The sequence below is a fragment of the Homo sapiens genome, chromosome 16, assembly GCF_000001405.40.
Source record: "Homo sapiens chromosome 16, GRCh38.p14 Primary Assembly".
In the NCBI taxonomy this organism is placed as follows: domain Eukaryota; kingdom Metazoa; phylum Chordata; class Mammalia; order Primates; family Hominidae; genus Homo; species Homo sapiens.
The window spans coordinates 54,526,485-54,545,611 of NC_000016.10; the positions used below are offsets into that span (position 1 = coordinate 54,526,485).

General features: G+C 43.2%; 1 annotated feature.

The window, feature by feature from the left end:
* Positions 15,482-17,529: an enhancer, noted in NCBI's record as "VISTA enhancer hs43". NCBI's record gives its function as "enhancer in: midbrain (mesencephalon)[6/6] | nose[5/6] | tail[5/6]" and the evidence as "EXISTENCE:transgenic organism evidence [ECO:0001131][PMID:17130149]".

Genomic DNA, 19,127 nt, shown 5'->3' on the forward strand with positions numbered 1-19,127 from the left:
CATATTTGCAGTTAAGTACCTCTCCCAGCACGCTTACTGTCTATAAAAAGATAGGGGCCCAGAGACCACTTTTTACTTGGAATGTTTCGTGTCCCTTTTGATCCAAGCAGGTGGTACTTCCACCAATATAATTATCTTAAAATTTTTGTGGGTTATCCATGAATCTTAATGGTATTTATTTTATGTCCCCAAAGCTATGCTCATAGTTTTTTCTGAGACATGATTTAGGACAATGTTCTTACAATTTCCAATTTTGCAATGTTTAGTTTTATGAGGGTTTACTAGGTTTAAACAGCTTTAACTCTTTCTGAGTTCTTAACAAGGGTCTTATGGCTATGCCTTGATCTTATTTGTACCCTGGAGCCATTCCTTACTTTGAGAATTTTTTTTTTTTTTTTCAGCTGGAAAAACTCTTCTGGGCCTGCTATATTTTATGTAAATTCTTGAAAACGTATTAGTTCCTTCTTCAGCTCTCTTTTCCAATACTTTACCATAAACAGTTATAAGAAGCCAACTGGCACTTTTAACATCCTTCCTGGGGACCTTCTTAGTCAGATTCACACTATCTCAGTTATCTTTTGTTATGTAAACAAACCATTCCAAAACAGAGTCACTTAAAACAACCACCACCACCATTTACTCACTCATGATTCAGCAATCATGTTGGAGTCAGCTGGATAGCTCATCCCTATTCCACATGGTGTCATCTAGGGAGTTCATATGGAGCTGGAGGATCCAGCCTCAAGTAAGTCAAACTGACCATATTTTAAGAGAGCAAAAATGGAAGATATGGTCTACTTAAAACTTAGGCTCAGATTGGCACAACATCACCTCTGCTGCATTCCATTGGTCAAAGGAAGTCACAGGGCCATTCAAGGGGAGGGAAAATAGACTCCACTTCTTGTTAGGAAAAGCAGCATGCGCACACAAAAATCAGAGAACCTGTTTGCAGCCGTCCTTGGAGATGATCTACCATGCCTTCTTAAGCAGGCAGACTGCAGTTCGAGTAGGTATACCCTACATGTGCTGGGGAGACTGTACACGTTTTAGGCCCTTAGTAAATATCCTTACATGAATAAATAAAGGAGTTAATAAGTGACCATGTGAATGAATTAAGGAGATAAACAAATGAATGGATGAATGAATATATAAGTAATGAACGAGTGATCAGATAATTTTTTTTTTTTGAGACAGAATTTTGCTCTGTCACCCAGGCTGAAGTGTGGTGGCGTGATCTTGGCTCACTGCAGCCTCTACCTCCTGGGTTCAAGTGATTCTCCTGCCTCAGCCTCCAAAGTAGCTAGAATTACAGGTGAGTGCCACCATATCCTGCTAATTTTTGTATTTTTAGTAGAGACAGGGTTTCACCATGTTGGCCGGGCTGTTCTTGAACTTCTGGCCTCAAGTGATTCACCCACCTCAGTCTCCCAAAGTGCTGGGATTACAGGTGTGAGCCACCATAGCCAGCTGAATAAATTAATGGGTGAGTGAAGAGAAAGAATGAGTGAATAAACGGTGTGAAGAAGTGCCTCCCAAATAGAGTGGGAAACTCTTCCCTATTTGTGAAAAATATGAGGTGCAATATTTTCCCTAGAAACTAGGCACAATCATTCCAAGAGGCAAGGCCTCCTCCAATTCTCTTCACCTGGTCCCATTCTCTCATCTCAGAAAAGGGGAGGTCTTGGGTTTTCTGCCCTCATCTGAAATAGGCTCCATAGGTGAAATACCTCTCTAGCTCCCTAATTTGGCAAAGCTGACTCATGACAAGATCGTCATCAGGAATCTCAAACCCAGATACTGCAATAGCCAAGGAAATAATATAGATGCATGAAGTGGTCCATGTGGCCACCATGACAAACTGGAGATCAACTGTCCCTAATATTGCCATATGGACTAAAAACCCAGAGTCTTTCTAGAATTTCTCATTTACCAAGATAACTGGGAAGTCTAGGTTTTTATATGAAAACTCCCTATTTTCAAAGGTTGGCAAGAGTATTTTTCAGGATAGGCTAGCCATCCTGCTGCTATGCTTGAACAACAAAGAAGACCCAACTATAAGTGGCTTGAAACAATGAAAGTTTATTTTTTGTTCACACTTCGTGTTATCAGAGGCACTCTGGGGACTCAGCTCTGTGACCCTGTCACTCAGGGTCCTATGATGAAGATAATGTTCTCTCTCTCTCTCTGTTTTCCAAGGCAGAGAAGTGGAGACATGGTGAGTCATTCTCTGCCTCTTAAAGCATCTTCTTGAAGCAACAGATACTACCTTTGCTCACATTTCATTGGCCAAGGCACATCCTCCAGCCACTCCTAACTTTGTGGGGTCAGGGAACGGCGGCCTTACCATGTGCCAACAAGAATTGGGAGTTTCTCATGAGAAGAACTGATGACTACTGCAACAGCTAACACGCTTTCCAAAAAACATTGTTTGGACCAGAGCTGGTCAGTGACACCCCAGTCTCTGAGCCCGTGTCAGGAGGGTGAAATGTGTATCAGGGCCTTCCCTCTCCACCACCTTCTCTGGCTCCTGTCTCCTTTCCATCGTCCCCAAGCTCTACAGGTCAGGACACTTCAACTGGAAGCATCTACAAAGTAGTTCAGGGTCTCTCAACCACAACACTATATGGACATTTTAAGATGGATAATTATTTGTTGTCCTGTGCATTGCAGAAGGTTTTGCAGCATCCCTGGCCTCTATCTACCCTTTCTGATGCTGATGACTCAACGTGACAATCTAACAATGACTCCAAGCTTTGCCAGATGTCCTCTGCGGGGGGTGGGGGCAAAATCACCCCTGGTGGAGACCCACTGGGGTAGCAGAAAGACCACTGGGTTTCAAGAATTTAGGCAGGTCTAGAGCCTGACCTTGCCAGACTCTATGATCCCACAACAAAATGCTTAACAAATCTCCATTGTCTCATCTGTAAAATGGGAGTAACTATTAGTCTTTCCTGATTGGTAACATTTTTGAGAGGCTAGAATGAGATTTTGAACGGGAAGAGCCAGTGTAGCCTGTCCTATTAGGGTTTAGAGATCTGCTTATTATGGTCTCATCCAGGCAGCCTTTCATGTCCAAGGCCTTTCAGACAAAAATTGTGTTCTTAGGCCCTGTCAAATATCCATGGTTATTGATAATATTTGTGATCATAGTCATCACAGTAGCTGTGTATTGGGTGCTTTACACATGCCTGACACCACATGTCAATTTATATTCACTGTCTTGAGTGATGTTCACAAGAGCCCTGAAAGGGAAGGATTACTGTCCCTGTTTTGTCACCGTAAAAGGTGACAAAACGGGGCTTCAGAGAGGTAAAGAGATTTGCCTAAGCCAGGTAGCAAGTGGTAGAGCAAGCCAGATATGCTACCTCTTCTGGAGAGCATCTGTCTCTACCTAGTAAGAGTGTCAAGAGAACAGAGCTGCCTTAACAGATGGGGTGATGAAGTGGAAGGACGTGTTGAAGGTTCTGGGAAGTCTGCTTAGCCCTCAACGTGCAGGCCTAAACCTCCGTAGCCCAAACCTACATCGTAATTATGATTATACCAACAACAGCTTCCATCGATTGGGCATTACCTATGTGCTAGGAACGCTGCTAAGAACCCTCTGTGAATGTTCTCATTCAATCCTCATGAGAAGCCTAGGAGGCTAGTACTACTATTGTCCCATTTTACAGATGAGAACCCGGAAGCCCACAGGTGGGAAACAACTTGCCCAAAGTCAGAATAAGTGAGTGGTGGAGCCAGAATTCCAAGCTTGGTCTGTGACTCCACGTCCATCCTTAGCCTTCACACCATACAATTGCCCTGTGCTGCTCTTCTGCAGAAGTCAGAGCCCTAGGGATCTCATATGATACAGTCCCTGGTCTGCCTTCCTTCCCAGCACCCAACAATGGCAGATTCCCAGATGATTCATTTGGGGTTGCAATGACACCAGTTACAACTGCAGCAGGAAAATCCCCCAACCCTTCCCTCCCAGCACACAATCACACTTTGGATTCTCCTGACGTGGTATTCCTTGCCCTGCGAGCTCCATTCCGGCCCAGGAGGTAGTTATCAAGCATATAAACCAGGTGGTGGATAAAATTCCAGTGCTCATTCACTGAAAATTAATGGCAGCAGGCACTTACCCCACCCTGGCTGTCCGCTTCTCCTGGGTCATTGCCACTTAGCCCAGCCTAAGCCCTACCTACCCAGACAGGACTCACACTGCCACCGAGAAAAAAAAATATAATTGTATGACGCCTGTTAGGAAGGAAGGAACTGTGGGACTGTGCGGCTGCTTGGGCGATGAATAGGTTCTCTCGGCACACAAATAAACAATTTACAGTTCTGAAATCCTGTGTTTGATTTTCACACCTGCTCTCCCTCTCAAGATTGGCACTGAAGGCAGCCAACCTTGCCCTTGGAGCAGCGGTTGAAACTTGAAGTCAGCCTTTCCTCATCGACTCCTCCCCCTCCCCTTAGCTGTAGTTTTGTGTTGTTATTGGAGGGAGAGATAGAAGAGTGTGTTATAACTTATAGAGTAAATGTTGTTTGAAAAGGGAGACTTCCATTCCCTGACCCAACAAATCTCTGTTGAGGACCTACTGTGCACCAAACAAATCATCAGTGGATTCACAGGGTGACAGCACTTTGGTGTGGTGGAATGTCTAGTTGGACATGTATGGCAACCTAGTATAATGGGTGACTGGGATAAGAGACCATCCTAGTTAAAAACAGCGCTCTTCCAAATAACAGGTTCCCAGATGACATTCATGCTGATGATTTTTGTTTTTTTTTTAATTCATTACTTTCAAAGTAATATGAAAGAAAAAGTTTTCTGTTGACCAAGTCTAGGAGGTATAGTGGGCGTCCATCAGGCTTAGAGTTTGACCTTGAACAAGTGATTGTCCATCAGTTTTCCCCATCTGTATAATGGGAGGAGTAGGTCAGTATTGTTGTTATTTTTGTCCTTAAAGGAGAACCTTCCCTCACTTTTGTTTTTGCAAATGAAATTGTAGCAGGAAATCCAATATCTAAGCAGATTGAAAGGAGCAGCTTGGAGATGGGGGCTGGGATCCCAGCACTTGAGGTCTCGTTCATTTCTGAGAATCTTAGGGGAAGTTCAGAGCTTTGTGGAGCGTTGTGTGATAACCCCTGGAATAGACGATTTCTGAGTTTTCTTCCAGCCCTGATTTGAAGAGGTGAGAAGTAAAGGGGCAAATAAGTGTTTGAGATCAACTATTTGTACTGTGGAAAATGGCATGAAGTTTGCCTGTTGCCATTTCTTCTCTGTTCAAAGGGGCTCAGGTAAAAGGAGGGCTTTACTTGCTCCCAGCATCCAAAGAAGTTGGTGAAGCCCAGCTTGATGGAACAATGAAACCACAGGAGAAACAGAAATACATGTGGGCCCCCGAGACTTTCTCATGCTATCCCTTGTCTTGGCTTCTGCTTGGTGGATCCATTTTCTTTCTTTTTATGCCTCCTTCTACACTTGGTGGAAAAATGGCCACTGACAGGTCTGGGCCTCTCATCCCATCACCGGACACAGTTAGCTTTCCTTTCATGCTTCCAATACGCATATCCCAAGCAATGTCTCTGATAGGTCTAGCTTGGGTCAGGTGCCCACTTGTAGACCAAGCAACTATAACCAATGGGGCAAGGTCACATCAAAAAATGACTCCCTTGTGTGGTAAGGGAAGCCTTTCCTGGAGGGATTAGAGGGATAATGAGGCATGCAAAAGAATTAGATGTTCATGGGCCTTGTGGGGAATTTTGAAACACTAGTGCACACAGATTCTCAACCTTTGATCTACACAAAAACAGCTGGGGAGGGATGGGGAGTAGGGTGGTTAAGATCTGAACTCTTGGGCCACAATCCCAGAGGGGTTTGCTTTGGTAGGTCTGTTGAGGGCCCAGGAATCTTTCCTTTTAATATGCTCAGGGCATTCAAATTTCACTGATTCTCACACTAAGACTTGAGAAAGTCTTAGTGGAAAAGTGGAAAAATCTGAGCTTTTCTTGTGCTGAAAAAAAGGTGTTTATTCCTCAGCTCATCTTTATCCTCAGGAAACAGTCAGAAATGAGGACAAGCTAGAGCCAGTATCCAGAAAGCCACATCTGGACACCTGTAGCCCTTATGTCACTACACATCCACCTCAAATCTCTGGAAGCTCCAGAACATGCTGACGAGGAGGTTGGTGACATTCAAGGAGGAAAGGGAGGGGAGTTTGATGGCAATGGAGTCCTCGGCCTACAATGTGTGCACTTGAAAAGGCCCTGAAACACAGCCCCATGAACCAATGACATTGGCCCAGGTGTTTGTGACCAAAGAGTCAAGGGGTGGACTGTTTTTAGAGAATGAGACCAGACAGCCTATTGTGTGTCCAGTAGTCAGTGAGCAAAGATGGGTCTTCAGTGATGAATGTTGATGGGGTTAAGTGGGGGCATAGGAACTGGATCTATAGAGCATGGGTTCATAGGAATGGCCTGTGATAGCTTTATGTAGTTTTTGCTGGTTTATAAGGAGACTGAGAGACTTTGTAGCTGGCTCTCTTACTGCTCAGCATGGAGCTGTTGAAGCCAGTCTACATTCACATCAGGGGCTAGGTAGGGAAACAGGACACATATCAGGTCGTTCAATTAGGGGAATTTAATATAGTGAACCACATGTGTTGGAGAAAGGGTGGCAATCTGGGTATTAGCATGAGCAAGAAGTTTCTACTACTTTTGGAGCAGGAAGTGATGTTCAAGCCCAGGAGCTGGGGCCATGAAGCAGGAGCTGGAGCCAGCAAGGAGGTGCTACCCAGCGGGAACTGGAACCACAGTGGGAGCTGCTCAGCTGGAGCTGGGAGCATGGAAGGAAAGACTGCCCTAGAGGAGTTTGAGCCAGGTTGGAGGTGTAGCATCTGCCAGAGACACCGCCTGGGGCGGAGAAAGGAGAGAGATGCTCTGGCTTCTTTCTTTCTGTTGCTCTCCAATTCCAGTGCCTTCCATTGGCCAGACATTACTGGAAATGATCTGACACAGACTGACACTGGTCAGCCCATGCCATAGAGCAGGGGAAGGATGGGATGAATGAGGAATGAAGATGAGGGTGAACAGGCAGTTGACCTCCACATTGGGTCCTCCCTAATTTTATGAAACTTTTCTACCTTAGTATGAGTATAGGATGCTGAGATTCTATTGGCTTTAAAACATATTTAGGCTGGGCGTGTTGGCTCACAACTGTAATCCCAGCACTTTGGGAGGATCACCTGAGATCAGGAGTTCGAGACCAGCATGACCAACACGGCAAAACTCCACCTATACTAAAAACACAAAAATTAGCTGGGTGTGGTGGCGCATGCCTGTAATCCCAGCTACTTTGGAGGCTGAGGCTGGAGAATTGCTTGCTCCGGGAGGCAGAGGCTGCAGTGAGCTGAGATGGCGCCACTGCACTCCAGCCTGGGCAACAAGAGCAAAACTCCATCTCAACAAGCAAACAAACAAAATATTTAAAAATTTAAAAAAATATATGTATTTTTTAAAAAAAAAATTACAAAATTACTTTTTTTAAAATTTAATTTTTAAAAAAATATTAAAAATTTTTAATTTTTAAAAAATTAAAAATATAGTATATATACAATATTTAATTTTTTTAAATTAAAAAATATAGTATATATATAATTATATATATACATATATATGTAATTTTTTAAAAAATTAAAAATTATATATATATGTATACAGGTTACTTGCGACTCTCCTTGCTCAACTGTTGTCACAAATCCCTCTGCAATTTGTGATTCAATTTGCTTGACTCATTTGCTAAAGAAAGATTATTTCCATCATCTTGGTTTACTTTGCAGCTGCTTCATCCCAAACCCAAATTTGTATTGAAAAGACTTCCAGCTCTAAAGCAGAGGAGAGGTTGGCTCTTATGCATGGGCCATAGGCTGCCCTGGTCAGGAGCTTGTCTTTTGCTTCCTCTCTTTGAAGAAAAAAATAGGAAAAATATTTCAATTCCCCCTGTTTTTTGCCCCCGACTCCCCTTTTAAGATTTCAGCCTCACAATACTCAAGATATTTCCTGCCCCTCTGTTCTGCTCTATTACTTTTTCTTTAGGACTTACATCTATTTTATTTACAAATATTTCACTTAGTTATTTTCTGCCTTCTCAACTAGAATATACTATATGAGTTCCTTAAGGGCACAAACTTTTGACTTTCATTTTCCATTGCTGTCTCCCCAACACCTAGAAAAGTGTTTGGTATGCTATGGTACATACCAGGCACTTAACAAATAATTGTCAAATCAGTAAATAAATGAATGGAGAGAACTCTGGGCCATTGAATCCTAGTTGAGGATTACTGTGTTAGTCAATAGTTTTCTATTAGCAAACATGAGGTTCTAGGCCAACATCTGTGCTCAAAGACGAAGCTGATTGGTTGTGAATGTGAGTGATGGCCTGACAAGGTGCTGAATCTTTTTCTTCTAAGTTCATGTTGCCTAATCCTCAGTTACTTGAGATGAGATGTAGACATTTTTGGTGGTGCCGTGATATTATTCTCCACAATTATCCTGCTCAGATTCACATAATGTCTATCTCCCGAACATAAAATTCCTCAGCGATGGGAGGCTCTACAGTGATACTCATTCTCTTCTGAAAGGTCATGCATTTTATTCAGTAGATTAACTTTTTATCTCTTAATGATGTTAAGGAAAGGTCAAAGCATCTAACAGATGGGAGATGGAAAGCTTCTGGTGATGGAGATCAATGTTTCGAACATCAATCTAACTCCAGAAACTTCTTAATGATTATGGGTGGAGTTGGAGTTCATGGGACACTGCAACTAATGTGATAGCTTATTATGATAGTAAAAACAAAACTTGTGCAAAGCACTGTGTTATATCTGTCTCGAAGAAGGCTCTTGGCCTTCCTTCTGAAATCAGTGACCTCCATGGGCAGTCTATGCTTGTGGGATGATATTTATAAGACCCGATGGCTCCTACTAGGAAGAGAAGAGTTTCCATCCCTTGTTAGCAGGTAGTCAACTCTTTTGTGACAACTCTGATGTACATGATGGTTTTCTTTCCCCACACTCAGGAACAGAGGTACTCTGCTTACAAAAGGAGCTGAAGTGAGGCAGGGGGTTCCAACCTGAGGTTTCTGCTACCCACAGAGACAACCCACCCTCCCCAGGTAGGGGAAGGGAGGTACCAGGGAGCGTAGGTGCCCAGAGGGGTGAGGGTGAGGACCTCAGGGCTTCCATTCATTTATTTGATTATTTTCTTAATATCTTTCTCCCTCATTGGACTATGTAGTCCATGAGAACAGGGATTATGTCTGATATAGGGCCAGATATGTGTAAGGAGCTTAGTAAATTGTTCTTAAATGAATAAATGGACAAAGAAATAAATAAAGATCTCAATGCCAGAACTGTATTTCTCCAGCACCCATTCAGCCTTTGTCTAAGGTTAAGCCTTTGATTGCACTGAACGGCCTTGTGCGTGATCAGAGAGGCCTTCCAACCCTGTGTCCCCGCAATTCCATCAGCATCCTGTGTTTTCATATTTATGTGTCTTCCAGACAACTGGCCTTTAGTTCCTTGTGCTTCTTCTTTTCTTTTTTACCTTTTAGAAACAAAATCTTGCTCTGTCACCCAGGCCTCAGTGCAGTGGCACAATCATAGCTCACTGCAGCCTCAAACTCCTGGGCTCAAGCGATCCTCTTGCCTCAGCATCCCAAAGTGCTGGGATTACAGGCACGAGCCACCGCACCTGGCATCCCTGTGGTTCTTCTAACACCTCTATAAGAAATTGGCATGACACTGGCGCTAAGAGGAAATATTCGTCGAGACAGTCTAGGACCAGTGGAAATGTGATCTCCCACCCCCACTACCTGGGTCCCCAGCCCAGAGCTGTCTATTCTCTGGTGAAACGACCTCTCTGCCAGGAACAAGGACCAGCTCCTGGGTCCTAAAATGGACAGGAGGAAAATTCAGGTTAGAGGCTTGCGATCTGCTTTGAGCATTAAAATGAGGCTTTATGTGGATAACTTCAGAAACGGGAGGCTCAGAAAATGACTGAAGATGGATATTAGAGATGAAACAGATGGGTGCACAATGTCTCCATCAGTGGAAAATGTAGGGCAGCTGTCAGATGTGCGCTCCACAACTGACTGGCTTTTCAGAGAGAGCTGGGCCTCAGCCAGCCCAGTGACCCCTCAGAAACAGCAGGGGCTGTGGAGGGATGCAAGACCCCGAAGACCACGACTCCCCTCTCCCAATCACATTGTGAGTGCTTCTAAGACTGGGGCTCTAACTGAGACACTAGATTCTATGTAAATGTTAAATGGATGAATGAATGAGTCTTATAGGCCATTTCCACCCTGCCAAACCCCAAACAAGGATCCAAGGTAGAATAGGATAGATCCAATATTAGCACCTGCCTACCAATGTTGGCTTTCTGGTTTCTAAGGGGTTAACATTGTTCATAGGAGGTACCTGTCAACATACCACTCTCCTGTCCATCCCTTCACTATGCAGGTGGGGAAGGGGTCTGTGAGCTGTCTGCTTCCAGTAAGCTGAAGCCCTCAGCCTGATTCCACCCTTCCTGACTAAGTGATGTTGGTCAAGTGATTTAACCACTCAGAGTCTCAGTTTTCTCATCTGTAAAATGGGAGAATAATAATACTCAACTTGTGAGATTGTTGCAAGGATTAAGTGAACCATTTCAGCTAAAGCATTAGCATCATCATCATCATCATCATCTGAGGGTATAGAAACAAGGCAGGCAGGCAGCTGAAATTGGCAGGATGCCGAGAGAAGGATAAGAGTGAAGATAGAACAAGATAGGGGGTTGAGGGCTTCGGTTTTGCATCCAAGACACAGAAAAACTAATAAGATCCAGTCTCTGCACGCTGTGGAAACAGAGATGGCACAGTCCTTCCTGAGAGGTGCTTCTTGGGCTCCTGGGAAGTCAGTGGTGACAAAACAAAGTTGCAGCAGGAGTGCAATTCCCAAGAAACCACTCCTGCTCCCAGCAGTTTTTCCTGGGAGAGGAAGGTATTGCCCTGGATGCAGTTTTGATCCTTGGAAAACCCACAGTGAGATTTAGTAGTTTTTTTTTTTTTTTTTTTTTTTTGAGACAGAGTCTCGCTCTGTCACCCAGGCTGCAGTGCAGTGGCTTGATCTCGGCTCACTGCAAGCTCCACCTCCCGGGTTCACGCCATTCTCCTGCCTCAGCCTCCTGAGTAGCTGGGACTGCTAAATTAGCCGCCACCATGCCCGGCTAATTTTTTTTTGTATTTTTGTAGAGACGGGGTTTTACTGTATTAGCCAGGATGGTCTCGATCTCCTGACCTCGTGATCCACCCACCTCGGCCTCCCAAAGTGCTGGGATTACAGGCGTGAGCCACCGTGCCCGGCCGAGACTTAGTAGTTTTCCAAGTCTCCTACTAGCATATCTACAGTCTGGCCTAACATCTCAGAAAGCAGCTGCTTCTGGAACAATTGCTTAGAGTTACTGGTTTTCTGTCCTTACCTGAGCTTAGAGCATTTCCTCAAGTCTTTTGTTACTTAGCTCTTAATAAAGGAATGTCCTCTTCCAGCTGAGAGAACATTTGCTTTGTAGACATCCAGCTCAGGTTGGCTGTTCTGCCGTGGTTTCTCGAAAACATTATCAGTCCTTCACCTGGAAGAAGCAAACTGTCTATACGTACTGTCACTTTTAACCAGGGAAATCCAAGATGCGGCTGTGGATGCTTCAGAAATGACTTCCAGAGAATATTCTTTGCATGATGTTTTGGAAATAATATTCCAGAAAATAGTGGCAACTTCCTGGGAGAGGACATAGATAGGAAACCTTGGCCTCTGGGACATAACCCTTCTCTCCGAAGGCTGTAATCTCAGGGACTCTTGGTTTGTGGATGTTTCAGATTCTTCTGATCTGATTTTTTCTACCCTGCAGGGGACAGCATTGGGCAAAGAACTGCGGAATTCACATGATAAAAGAAAAAACATTTGCTTCCAATTATCCAAATTATTGTTTGCTAATTGAAGTACAAAAGGGGTATTTTTTTCTCCTCTGGTTGGTATAAGCAGCCCTTCCCTTAAATCTCTTTGATTGAACAAAAATGCTTTTGGAGTGTTTACTTTAATTCCATACATCATTTTCCTGATGAGTAGTTGTTCAGTAATGCCCTGTGCACGGAGGCAAGCTTCAACCAGAGAGCAGTTTGTCATCAAAGCTGCAGAAACTGATATATATATATATTACATATGCACCATTGTGTGTCTGTCACTCTGCCTGGATTTTTTTTTTTTTTTTGGCTTGGATATCAGTTTTGGGGACAAAAATTTATCTGCCGCTATCCTATTACCATATATTCCTTCTTATATAGGTGAACATTGCCTTAGGTCAAGTTTTCTGGAAGTAGACTCTTAGATGGAGATGTGCAGGAGAGTGTGCTCTCAGAAACACCACCTGTTGAGAGTTGTGGAATGCATGGGGGGAGCTGGGTAATATCCCAGTACCTATGTCCCCCAGGGCATCGAATGTTGCAGTTGCAACAGAGGCCACATTTAATGTGATGGGGGACATAGGTACTGGGATAATCTTTCAGAGTTGTCCCAAATTGAGACAATGAGGCTGAGCTTTTGTGCCCCAATCCTGACCAGTCTTTGGAAATGAGCTACCAGAAAAGAAATGGAACCTTGGGCGTGGTAGCTCCTTCATACCTAGGGAGGTAAGCAGCTGTGAACTTTCAGCAGCCATCACTTCAGAGAAGGATGGGGAGTGGGAGTTGGAGAGAGGGGAATGAGTATCCCAGTCCTAAGGGGGATTTCAGACAGTCTACCACGACACCCACCACGCCCACATCTAAGCAAGTGTGCTTTACATGGAAAATATAGATTGACATATGTTATTTCTGAAGATGCACATGAAAAGCCGCTGGAAACCTTTCTCAGCTCCAGCTGTTCAGATGTTGTGGTCCTCAAACTCTTTTTCAAATAGAGCTTTGCAAAGTCGATGGCATTTGCTTATTCTGGGCAGATGCAACAAAGTTATCTCTGAACTTCTGCCAGCGATCAAAGGAATCGATGATGTAGAACAGTTCCACGGGCCATCTCCTTCCTGCCCATCATCTATCATCCCAACCCTCAACCTTTTTTCTGAGTGATGATTGTACCCTAAACACATAAAATTAATCACCACTCCAGGCCAGCCAGGTGTCTTGCCTCCAGAAATTATCTCACTGCAGCAAAACAACAGCTCGGATCTGATAATGTCTCATAATTTCATTTAAAGAGCACCGTGGAGTCATATGGGAGCCACTGACAGGTTTGCAAAGTTCTGAGAAGCAAAGAGCTAGAGCTCGCTTCGTGCAAAGATCAAGTGGCAATTGTTTCAGGTAAAGCCCTGTTTCAGGTTTAAAAAAAAGGCTCACCTTGACTTAAAGCAGTACTAATTAAATCACCAGCTTCCAACAAAAGAGAATCCTTGTAGGGCAGAATCAGGTGCTCACCGAGAAGAATAGCTCTGATTTTTTCTGGAAACTTTACGGTGATGGTTTTGGAGAACTCAGGCACAGGCTAGGGAGAACCCCTTAAACTCCACACTTAGCAGCAGATCATTACATGATTCAATGAAGCTCTGATTTTGAAATTCCATATGACAAGCCCTGCTTAACTTAACAGGGGCCGATAGTGGCCTTCTCTTGTACCCTGTATGTATATTTTAACTATGCGGCCCTCTGGCAATGTCCTGTACCTTTCAATCAATCAGAAAGCCCCATTTGTCAGTTCCATGTGGAGTTCAGCGCTTCTGAGCATTTGGCAGAGAGAAAACAATCACGGAGCTAGATATAAAAATGATTGTCTTAATCTAATCATGTGGCATTTCCAATATCTAAATCCAGGATGGAAGCACATTCTTGCAATACACAGAATGATAGATCCACAAACAACAGGCGGGTTTTTACTGAGGAGCTTGGCCTCCGTTTTAGATTAGCGGCAAATCCTTATAACTTGGTTCTAATTGAGAGCTTAGCTGTTGCTATTAAATTCCTTTTCAGAAACAATACTGCCTACACGATTACCCTTACTGAGAACATTCTCCCGTTCTATCGGAAACTATCCAAATGACTGAGAATTAAGGCAAACACTTTATAAAGTAACATTCCCCAAAGACAGGTTGGAATGTTTGATTAAGAGAAGCCTCAGATAGAGTCTGTGAATAAAATAAAGCCGTTCTAAGTGTCTCAGGGCTTTGCCCTGCGTAAGTCTGCATTACAATTCCACTCCACCTTCACTCTCGGAGCCTAGTAAATATGTTCTTGCGACATTCAATTCCGAAGAGAAGGAAACTGAGTCTTAGGGAAGTGATCCGCACGCCTCTTCAAGCTCTATCATCTTATCTTTTTAAAATTTTTCAGAAAATCCAGACCTGCACACACAGCCAGTGGGTCCTGGGACAGCTTGTGCTGCATCCTGGCTGGCCTCGGTCCTTCTAATGCAGAATCCGCCCAGGAGAAAGGAACAGGTCTGTCCAGCCTCTGAGCAAACAGTAACCCAGCCTCCCAGCTGGTTAGTACGCTAGCAGCAAACAGCACCTACGATAAACAGGTGCCCTTTAAATAGGCCAGTACGGCAGGCAGCTGGATTACTGCAACTGAGGCAAAAGAAGCAACTCAGGAGACAGATCTGATAGAACAAGCAAGAGGGAAGAAAGTTCATATTATAGATACTCCTAGTTGAAAAGGTCCAACAAGTCGCCCTGTCGTCCTGAACCTCTACAGATGGCTCCTGGTGATGGCTGCGTGATAAATTGTGCATGGTGAGGTCACCAGTCCAGATTTATTTGACTGTATGTAAATATGGGACTGTAGCGTTCGGCTGCTGGCCTCGCTCAGGGCAGTAATGACTATATATTTAGCAAGAAAAAAAATGAAATGAAATAAAATCCATTCTAAATTCAAATCATCCTAAATTCCCAAATCAACATTCAGGGAAAAGAATCAATATTAGTTGTCTCAATATTCCATGATATAGTTTGTCATTTGACAATGGTCTCTGGCTTAAAGGAACCAAACATAAGCATTCGTGTGTGTTCTCAATTCAGGATTAGTGAGTGTTAACATGAGGAGTAATTTCACAGGGTTGAGCCATTCTCTCCTGGAACCAAAAATCACCAAAGGATGATGAATGCAACTCAATCCACAAGATTTTCAGTCATATGAAATTTTAATATGAATTTTCTGCCAGTGTTAAATGAAGAGACAGCAAGTTGAATAATGGTAGAATGCAATATGCTAGCAGTCCATTTTGTCTTAATTACAGAACTCTATGAAATGCGTTATTTTAAATATCCCGCAATGATTCTCTTAAGAACACTGGCATGGAGTGCGAGCCGTTTTCAGACCTTAACCATAAACATAGCTGCGAATGTTTCCTTGCTCTTTTATTTCTTCCACAAAAGAATTGTTTCTCTATCTGCTTGTTAATATTCTCACGTATGGGAGGCTCAATGAACTCAAAAATCCAGATAACTGAGTGTAGTACAAATTAGCAAATACGGGAAATGGCCGATGGAAATAGCACACATACTTCTCCCAATAAGTTTATATGCATCCTCTCATTGGGAAATGAATCTGTAGAAAGTCTGCCTGTGTCTACTCAGCCTGCTGAGTCCAGGGTAAGTTTGGATTTGAGTCCTCTCTTAGAGGATACCTATGGCATTTTGATTTATCCACAGGACCATTCAATCTTAAATGGAACACACTTAAAATAATAGAAAAACACAGTTAAGTTGGAATAATGAAAGTTGAGGACGTCAGGGAGATGAAATAAAGTTTACGAAGATATGCCCTATCATAAAAAGTTCACCCTCTCTGTAATGAAGCGTAGGAATATCAATTGACTGAAGTGACAGCTAGCTTTCAGAATATTCATGAAAAACGCAGCCTCCTCTCATAGATGTATTAAAGTATTACTTACCCCCTTTTGGGAAAGCCATGTCACCAATTCCAGGAGTGAATAGTGATGCATAAAATTGAAGGAGAAAATGTGGAGAAAAATAAGCACACATCAGAAGCAGGGTCAAGAACCTAATTTCACAGTGACACACTCGTAATTTGGCTTTGAAAATTTTTGTCAATTCTAAATTCATTTGAAAAAGCATAGCTCAGAAATGCCGGTGTCTGAATATGAGATATGCCAGTGTCTGAATATGAGATTCCAATATTTATAGTACAGTTTACAAATACATTACCCCTGTCACAGTGAAATAAGTCACATACTTACATGCTGAGTGGAGTCAGTCCAAAGGTGTAGGCATCAGGGAAAAAGATAAGGAGACAAGTAATTAGTACATTAATCTTTTTTATTATATCATTTTTCAGACATATATGATCGTAATGTAAATTAGAAATAAAGGAGGGTTCATGGAAAATAGAATTAATTTCGAGGAGGTCAATCACTCTACAGTAACTGCATTACAAGCATGGTGTAATTTACGGCAACATTTGTCCATTTTCCTGCGTGTGGCTGATTACGATGCTCTGCTCTTTGCTATCAGTTGAAAGTCAGCTTGTGCGATAACATTCTGCGTCCTAATGAAATTCATTTGCAGTACAAAAATTTGAGTGAATCCAACAAGGGCTGTTACAGGCCTTAATGGCATTCTATGGATTATTGATTTTTGATTTAGTTTCTGCTCAAGAGAAGCCCATTTTAACAGCACCATTACCTCCATAACGATTAGAGACAAAAAGTTAATTATGTAATTATAAAGCCAATAACAGACTTGTCTGGTTTACTTTGCTTTAGTCAGTTTAAACATTATCTCTCGTGTGCACATCATAACAGGCGGAGTGTGAGAAGAGAGATTAACGCCATGAAAGCAGATGTGAAATTTAATTCTCCAGGCCATCGCTGTCTGGGAAACCATTAAGTAATCACAGCATTCTCCCTCTATTAAATTCACGGCTGCCACTTCACACACAAAAGGTGGGAAAAGGTGCAGTGAGCCTTCCAGTCCTATTGGAGTGTAACACAGACCCACCCTGAGGCGCTGAGGGAGAAAACCCTGCTCAATAGGATGCCTCTGTCTATTTGAAAATGAAAAGCTTGGGAAAAATTAAGCGTATGATGTCGTTCCTAAGATAAACCAAGGGACTGTTTTCACCTTGAAAAGGAGCTAGAGCTACTGAAGGTTGGCGGGTTTGGAAATCAGAAGTCAGCCCTGGCGAAGGTCACTAGAACTTTCTAATGCCATGCCTCGTCTTGTGCCGGCTTGTAAGTGATGTTCTGAAACATAAACATTTTAATAACCATCATCCTTCCAAGAGCTTCCAAATGGACAGCCTCAAATGAAATCTCACACCTTGGTTAGCAGTGGAAGGTTGCCGCGCTCAATATTATTTGTCTTAGCATGTGTGTGTGTGTGTGTGTGTGTGTGCGTGTGTGTGTGTGTTTCTTCTCCCTCCTCTTAAGATCTTATCAAAATCATAGTTATAAACAACTACCCCTAGCTGAGAGTCTATATTTCTTCATAGGGTCTCATGACCTCATTTGGAGAATGCCTTTCTCCCGCCAAAAATCCACTTTAAAAATCTGTAGTAGGAATATTTTTTTTTTTTTTTTTTTTTTTTTTTGAGACGGAGTCTCGCTCTGTCGCCCAGGCTGGAGTGCAGTGGCGGGATCTCGGCTCACTGCAAGCTCCGCCTCCTGGGTTCACGCCATTCTCCTGCCTCAGCCTCCCAAGTAGCTGGGACTACAGGCGCCCGCCACTACGCCCGGCTAATTTTTTGTATTTTTAGTAGAGACGGGGTTTCACCGTTTTAGCCGGGATGGTCTCGATCTCCTGACCTCGTGATCCGCCCGCCTCGGCCTCCCAAAGTGCTGGGATTACAGGCATGAGCCACCGCGCCCGGCCTAAAAATCTGTAGTAGGAATATTTTATGCATCGGCTCGTTTCCAGAGAGAAGGGAGCATCCGAGGAAGATTCACTGTGGGTTATAATAGGAACCTAAAAATAGAGCTATGTTGAATGTAGCGATCATAACATGTTGCTAATAAGACTCTTGAGGTTAACAGCTCAGGTAAGCATGTAAGTTCCTGGGAACTCTTAGCGATGAAAATGATGTGGAGTGGGGAAGAGAGTAGAGGAACCGAGACACATTAAAGACACTGCGCATTCATTTGAGAATGCTGATTTCATGAAGGTTTAAACCAACTGAGTGTCCCTGGGTGCAGACATTAAAACTGCCCAGGGATCAACCTAGGAGTAAGGATCTGTCATCACTCACCAACTTAGTCCTGACACCATGGCCAGCTTTGGTGACCATCTCTGCCATCTCAAGATTGCTGTGTTTTGCTGAACGGGGAGGGCCATCCAGGAATTCAATGTCAGATTGTCAATCAAAAGGCACTTGTAGGATGTCAGTGCACTTCCTGTCCTTCAGCTTCTTGCAAGGATTTTTTTTTTTATGGAGTAGCGTGGAGTTGCTGGATTACGGCAAACAGGTTGAGTCGCAGTGCCAAGTCTGCTGAACACTGCTTATCTGAAGGGCATGTTTGCAGCACTCTGAGTTTGCAGTAGATTACAGCACCTTCCTGGAAATAAGAGACCCATGTTCTCTGGATAGATAGCTCTGGTTTTAGCATCACCTACCTATCCACAGCATCCAGTACTTTTGCAAAAGAACCCCAGAAAGATCTAGACACCAGAAAATATGCCAAGCTTGTCAAGAGGGTCTGAATCACATTTAAATATATCGTGGGCATGTTCATTTTTCCTTTGGGGACCTTTGCAAAGAAATCAAGCCTCATTAGTTTCAAAGACCAGTGTCTCGAGAGCATCTTCAGGTTTTTACCCAAATAGTGGGCAAACTCACCGGCCTCTAGCATTAGATGAGAAGAAAATAAACACCAAAGCTTATAGAACGCTTCTTTCCTCGAGGCTGCAGAAGGAAACCATTTCTCTCTTTATGGTAGAAAGCGTCCTCCATCCAAAGACTGATTCCACACCTTGGCATTTTATCCACCTAAAAATAAATAGTTGAAAAAGGAGAATATTTCTAGCATAAGGAATATGTGAAAGAATCTGCCTCCCTGGGTGCAGATATTCCTTTTTAACCTGACATCCTTTTTCACCAAAATCCACTG